Source organism: Homo sapiens, chromosome 1, assembly GCF_000001405.40.
Source record: "Homo sapiens chromosome 1, GRCh38.p14 Primary Assembly".
In the NCBI taxonomy this organism is placed as follows: Eukaryota; Metazoa; Chordata; class Mammalia; order Primates; family Hominidae; genus Homo; species Homo sapiens.
The window spans coordinates 165,950,085-165,958,009 of record NC_000001.11 but is presented as its reverse complement, the minus strand read 5'-3'; positions in this window follow the sequence as shown (position 1 = coordinate 165,958,009).

Below are 7,925 nucleotides of genomic sequence, written 5' to 3'. Positions count from 1 at the left end.
TATTACAAATCCCGCTTAAGCACCCAATCCGTGGACCCCTGAAGAACAAATAAGAATAAGAACTGATCCCCGGGAGACCAACACGGAGCAGGCCATTTCAGTGCATTCAGTATGGACAATAACGTACCTATGAAGCAGGAAGCTCAAGGGGTCATGTCACTGTCAGATACAAAAGCTTAGAAGCCCACCCACACCCTCTCTACTTGTGGCAATCAATGATTTTCACCGATATCCCAGTCCTCTTCATTCCAGGCCCATGGTGGGAATGTCTTTCCCTCCTCTTCCCACGACCATATGACTAACCTTGACCAACAAAATGTGAGTGGAAATGACACACGACTTTTTTTTTTTTTTTCTGAGACGGAGTCTCACTCTGTGTCCCAGGCTGGAGTGCAGTGGCATGATTTCTGCTCACTGCAACCTCCATCCCCCAGGTTCAAGTGATTCTCACGCCTCAGCCTCCTGAGTAGCTGAGATTATAGGCACGTGCCACCATGCCTGGCTAATTTTTGTATTTTTAGTAGAGATGGGGTTTCACCATGTTGGCCAGACTGGTCTGGAACTCTTGACCTCAAGAGGTCCACCTGCCTTGGCCTCCCAAAGTGCTGGGATTACAGACATGAGCCACTGCACCCAGCTGACACGCTACTTTTAAGTGGAAGCCTTTAAGTACTGATGTGCAAATTTCTATGTCTTCTCCCTCCAACTGTCTCAAAGTACATTTCAGAAGGTGGGAGCTCCATCAGCATGATCCTGGAGTGAGAAGGACAGGAAGCAGGCTTCCTGCTGACCTGTGATGGACTTGTAGCATGAGCAAAAATTGAGCTTTGTTGATTTAAGCTTCTGAGGTTTTAGACTTATTTGTTTTTACAGCATAATATAGCTTACCCAAACTCCCTAGGCTGGCACTCGAGGACTTCCCATAAAGCAAAGCACCTATTCCTCTAGGCCTTTCTTTAATAATACTTCCATGAATTCTACACTGAAGCCAAACTGGTCTATCTACCATGTGCCAGCCATATCCAGACCATCTAACAAGCAGACCTTGTCTCATGCTAGTCCCTTTGCCCAAAATGCCCTCCTCCCATCTAAATCCTACTAACCTTATAAAATCTAGCTTAATAAATCCCTCCTCCAAGAGGCCTTCCTGAATGACCTAAGTTAGAAATGAATCCTGTGAATTATGATAGCCCTTTAAGCATCCCAGTCATGGGTATTTATCTTATAGAATTTTCTAGAATATTTGGCCATTTATTTGTCTGTGTCTCTGCTAGACGTAAACTCCTTGAGAATGGGGCTTTGGGGCTCATTGGCCTTCATGACCCACACTCCATGTAACCTGCATTTTGAGTGCCTTCCACATGGTAGTCAAATGTTATCATTTGCACAGGCTGGAACATTCCTTACAGTGCCTTTGAATCACTTTGTCTCATTTCTATAAAGAAAATGTGGTGAGCTCTCTCAGTTGCATTATGAACCTGAGCCACTGCTAAATCCAACCTCCCAGTTTTTATCTCAAATTTCTATTTTCTGGTCCACCTTCTTGGCCCTCATTATTTTCTTTTCACCTACATCCTCAACACTAGTAACTGGCTTTTTTTCAGAGGCCATTTTCCACCAAAGAACTAAACTATTATTTCAAGAGTCATGACTTCTGAGGGATCGAGCTGCAGGCATTTAGCAGTGAGCAAGCCTCCCTCACCAGGCAGGCAGCTTCCCTCTGCACCCAGCCTCTTAGCAAATGGAGCAAACCCAACATTGCAGGTTGCTGCACCACATGGACCTCTGGGGTACTTGGGAATATCTGAAACTGTAAGTGATAAATACTGTAACTCCCTCCTTGCAGGGTTCCTATGAGGATTAGAGACTAGCCAGAGCAATGCCTGGTACACAACAGGTATTCAATGAGTGACAGCCATTGTGTTAGAACAAAGCATCAGACCACACAAGGGCATATGTATGTCTGAACATAGTGGCCGTGGAAGATCTAAGGGATGGCTGGCAGGGCTTTGCTCTTCTCACCATGCCCCTCCAGCCCTGGCTCAATCTGTCACACACACGTAGTCTCCCCCAACGCTCTGTCCACTGTTTGAATTTCCAGTGTTAGAAAACCTATCTTGTATGTTTTAAAATACTATATCTGTCCAAGAAAGTCCCCTAGGACAATGATAAGTTTATGTGACAACTTCTATCATCTAACACATCATAGAAGATTCAGTAACCAGAGGCCAATCCAGGGAATGGAGCACAGGCTCAGGGACACTGTCCCATTGTTGGGATAATGTGGGAAGAGACCCACAAATACAGAAAGAGAACATGGACTTTTACAGAAAGAGACCCAGAAATACAGAAAGAGAACTTGGATCTTTACAGAAAAGATCTTGGAACTCATCTAGGTCCACCCCTTATCACATGTATGAGGATGCTGAGCCCAAGATATGTGAAGTGACTTGCCACAGCCCCAGATGCATTAATAAAAATGCTGGTTCCCAACTCCAGACCTCCTGATTCCCTGTTTACTGCTGCTCTTTCTACACTAGGGATCTCCTGGAGACAAAGGATGTTAGGCCCCAAAGATCATTTTGCTGGGTCCCAACCTGCTGCACCCTCACTGTCACCCTCTCCCCACTTGCCCTTTCCTATATCATCACCATTGACAGAAAATTTCAGTAATTAAAAAAAAAAACGTTGGTGAGGAGGGGAGGAAGAAGAAAAGGGGCTTCCTACACACATGTATAAAGCCCTGGCAGGCCCCAGGGAAATATACAGCTGTTCTAGCTTTCTGATTTGAGCTGTTAGCGGAAATTCCAGAAATTCAGCTGCTAACCACAGCAACAGAAGTCTTGCCTGCTCAGCCTCCCACATCTGTTCCTGGGCTCCAGAAGTGGGAGGGGAGGCCCAGCTTGGGAGGCTTCAGAGCAGATGGCAGCTCCACTCCCTGTGGATGACTTCACTTGGGTAATTAGGCCCAATGAGAAGGTTGGGAGGCCTCCTTGCTGATGATAATTAGCCAGGATAAATAAACTGAGCCCTGCTTGGAGGTCTTGGGAGTAGATGAAAGATTAATATTAGTGACTATGGGTCATAGGACACCTACTAAGTGCAGGCACTTTACAAACCATTTTTTGGTTAATCCTCCCTACAAGCCTGTAAGGTATAGGTTTTATGATCTCCATTTTGCATGAAAAAAAAAAACCCTAAAGCTTAGAAAATATTAAAGCAACACACCCAAGATCACTCAAGCAGTAGGTAACAGCTTCAAGGTTCAAACCTTAGTTCAAATGACTCAGGAGCCTGTGATTTTTCCTGGTGTGGCACACACATACCCTTGATGTCACTGGTGATCCAAAACAGGGGTCCTTTAACCAGTGTGAACCCAGTCCCTACTCTCTGACAGACACTGACATTCAAAGACAATAAGCCATCAGCCCTCACCCAGGGGTTCATAATCAAGAGGAAAAACAAAACAGAGACATCAATGAGAATTACGCCACCAAATGGGAAATTCCTTTGCAGAGGTGGGTAGTCACCAAGATCATTTTTGTTGTTGTTGTTTACTTCCTTTCTATTGTCCCCAGGACCCCAAAGGCCATGGAAAAATAGCAAAATGTTTTTTAGAGAAAGAAAGAAAGACTTAATAAATGCAGAAAAGAAAAGGGAAGTACAGTATATATCTACATTTTTAGAACAAGAATCTCCAAACTAAACAAAGGGCATACTATAGGGACTTCATTCTGTCTTGGGGAGGTTGGCTACCAATGACCATGGCTTGCTTCCATGGCCCAAAGACGTTTATGGTGGATAAGAGATCACTCCAGTTAGACATCTCCCTATGGCTCTCTTTATGTCTTCATACCCTTGGTCTCAAAAAGTCATCAGGCCTCCCATTGCAATAATTTTCCCCCGGAAAAGTAAAGAGAAGATCTTAGGGCTAAAACTGGAAGTAGAGAAATTCCATACACATACCAGCTCCTAGAAAAATCTTCAGATGCTGGGTGATCCCAGCAGTTTGGGAGGCCGAGGCAGGTGGATCACCTGAGGTCAGGAGCTCGAGACTAGCTTGGCCAACATGGTAAAATCCCATCCCTACTGAAAACATACAAAAAATTAGCCAGGCATGGTGGTGGGCGCCTGTAATTCCAGCTAGTCAGGAGGCTGAGGCAGAAGAATCGCTTGAATATGGGAGTCAGAGGCTGCAGTGAGCCAAGATCGTGCCATTGCACTCCAGCCTGGGCAACAAAAGCTAAACTCCATCTCAAAAAACAAGAAAAATCTTCAGAGACTGGACAGTCATCTGCCAGGATGGGACAGGAGGCTTCCTGCACTGAATAAGTCAGGAAACTAATCCATAAGGTCCCGTTCCACTCTGAGGGTCCTGTGCCATGTAAGCTGATCCCAGGCACAGAAAAGGATGAGAAGGCATCCAATTAAGGCTTTGAAGTTATTGGAAAACCAGACAAATGACCAAAAATAAAAAGGGAATATAATAGGTCATTCTTATTTGTGAATATATTTATTAAGCACCCATCATTCACTAGGCAGCAGTTCTGAGGAGCAGTGAGCCGGACAGACCAGAAATCCATGCTCTCAAGGCACATACGTCCTAGTGGGAGGAGACAGACAATCAGGGCATAAACAAAGTAATTTAAGTTCAGGTATAGGAAAATTCTAAGAAAATAAGATAGGATAATGTAATCAAGAGGTATTATAAAGCTGCCTAACTAGAAAGCTCAGGAAGAGCCTCTCTAAGAAGGTGATGTTTGAGTTGGGTTATGAATAATGAGAAAGTAATAGTCCAGAAAAAATCTGGGAGAAGAACATTGTTCTGTGACAGAGTAAGGCTGGCATGCTCAAAGCCAGTGCTATTGGATGGAACCAGGGGGAGTATGGAAAGAGAGCTGGGTGGGAGTCAAAGAATAAAAGGTCTTACAGGTTGTGATAGGAAGTTCTATGTTATTAATGGTAAATCAGTGAAGGTGTTTAAGCAGGGGAGTGACTTGATCTGATTTACACTTTAGAAAGATAAGTCTGGCCACTGTGTAGAGTTTGGACTAAAAGAGTAGAGACAGGAGAACAAGTTGAAATATTATGAATGGGTTCCATACATTAAAAAATAATCAGGCCGGGCGCGGTGGCGGTGGCTCACGCCTGTAATCCCAGCACTTTGGGAGGCCGAGGCGGGTGGATCACCTGAGGTCCAGAGTTCGAGACCAGCCTGACCAACATGGAGAAACCCTGTCTCTACTAAAAATACAAAATTAGCCGTGCGTGGTGGCGCATGCCTGTAATCCCAGCTACTCCGGAGGCTGAGGCAGGAGAATGGCTTGAACCCGGGAGGCAGAGGTTGCTGTGAGCCGAGATCGTGCCATTGCACTCCAGCCTGGGCAACAATAGCGAAACTCCATCTCAAAAAAAAAAATCTCCAGTGATACAGCAAAGTGTATCCCATAAATATAAGGCCAGTCCAACACTAAGAAATCTATGAATATACCTTATCACCACTTATCAGTCACATATCACTTAATGACAGGAATACGTTCTGAGAAATGTATCATTAGGGGGCAAGCGTGGTGGCTCATGCCTGTAATGCACTTTGGGAGGCTGAGGGGGGCAGATCACTTGAGGTTAGGAAATCAAGACCAGCCTGGCCAACATGGCAAAACCCCGTCTCTACTAAAAATACAAAAATTAGCTAGGTGTGGTGATGTGCACCTTTAGTCCCAGCTACTTGGGAGGCTGAGGTGGGAGAATCACTTGAACCCAGGAGGCGGATGTTGCAGTGAGCCAAGATCATGCCATTACTCTCCAGCCTAGGCAACAGAGTGAGACTCCAGCTCAAACAAACAAACAAACAAAAAAGAAATGTATCATTAGGCGATTTTGTCATTATGCGAACATCATAGAGTGTACTTACACAAACATAGATGATAGAGCCTACTACACACCTTGGGTATATGGTATAGCCTGATGCTCCTAGGCTACAAACTTGTACAGCATATTACTATACTGAATACTGTAGGCAACTGTAACACAATGGTAGGCACTTGTGTATCTTAAACATATCTAAACACAGAAAAAGGACTGCTAAAATATTATAATCTTATGACACAACTATAGTATATGTGGTCTACCCTTGACTGAAACATCATTTTGCAGCACATAACTGTCTATGACAAAAGTATATGACTGGCCGGGCACGGTGGCTCACGCCTGTAATCCCAGCACTTTGGGAGGCTGAGGTGGGCAGGTCATTTGAGGTCAGGCATTTGAGACCAGCCTGGCCAACATGGTGAAACCCTGTCTCTAAGAAAAATAGAAAAATTAGCTGGGCATGGTGGTGCATGCCTATAATCCCAACTACTCAGGAGGCTGAGGCATCAGAATTGCTTGAACCCAAGGGGCAGAGGTTGCAGTGAGCCAAGATTGCACCACTGCACTCCAGCTGGGCAACAGAGCAAGATTCTGTTTAAAAAAAAAAAAAAAAGGCATATGATTATTTCAATAGGGCATTTAATAAAATTCAAATGCATTCTAAATAAACATTTTAAAATGCGAGAAGAGATGAGTCATTTCTCAATATGATAAAGAGATTCTCTTTCCAACTGACTTTATTTTTAGCTGTAAAATACTAGAGGCCTCAAACAAAGATTCCCATTATTTCTATCATGGTTTATTATTTTGTTTATAAAATTCTAGACAATTCAATAAGATGTAAGACATAAATAAGAAGTATCAGTTTGGAGAGAAGAAAATTATCATTATTGATAGAGGGTTTGATTTATGTCTCTGCTGAGAATCTAACCTTGACATGGGGCTACTGTGTGCCTGCTGTTTACAATATGCTACTTCACTGAATCCCATGACACATTAGGGGGTCACGTCTTTCTCCTTATTTGATAGACAAAGATGAGTAACTTTCCTACCTATGAAGCAGGGAAGCTGAGATTTGAACATAAGTTTGTGATTTAAAAGCCTGTGTTCTTACACCATGTTGCCAAAACATTAAAAGGTAAAGCCAGAGGCTGCCAGAAATTCTTCTTTCCTATGGCTCCAGAGCTATGGAAATTTCAGCCTGCCTCTGGGATCAAGGTAGGACCTAGAGTTTGCCAGCATCTCAAAATTCTTGGTGCCAGAGGAAAGCAGCTGCCTCCTTCCCTGCGTCCCCTGTGCCATTCCAGCTGGAAGGAGGCCCCAGAGCCTCAGCTTCTCTGCATAAAAAATGTCAAGGAACTCCGCATTTCAGTGTGTCTTAGTCCTTCCTAAGAATATTTAAGTATCAAAAAGAGATGTTTTTTAACCCAGCTGAGTCTACTATTAGTTGAATTGTGTTTGTAGTGCTAGAAGATAGTTACTCTTGCCTCCAAGTTTTCGCCACATCATTGTAGTGCTTCATCTGCACAGCACAGCCGCATCATTGTAGTGCTAGAAGATAGCTAGAAGATTGGCCTCTGCCTCTGGAAGTGTGCTGACCCTGCCCAGAAGCTACTGTTGCTGCATGAGACTTGAAGAAAGAACCCAGGCCCCTGAGTTATGACTGTACAACCTGACTGTCTCTCTGGACTCAGACAAGACTTAACCCTACACACAGGGATGCTGAGAGGTTTCCTGAACCAAAGAATTCTGCCACCTGAGGCACTGAGTTCCTGCTGAGAACATGGAGCTTTCTCTTTTCATCTTGGATGTGAGCATCAGAATAAAACGTATCTCTTCTCATTTTCAAATGAAACCCTCAATTCAAAGAATTGAGGCCTATTGCCTCTCTAAGATAAAGTGGACTGACATCTCTCTACATTTTCCTCATTACTCTTGAAATGCCAATGTCATGGGCAACAGGCAGTTCACCAGCTGCCTGAATTCAAAATTGGCAAGCCCAAACTGGCCTCTTCCCAGCTGCCAGTCACTTTGAAGCTTTTCACTTTTCTGTG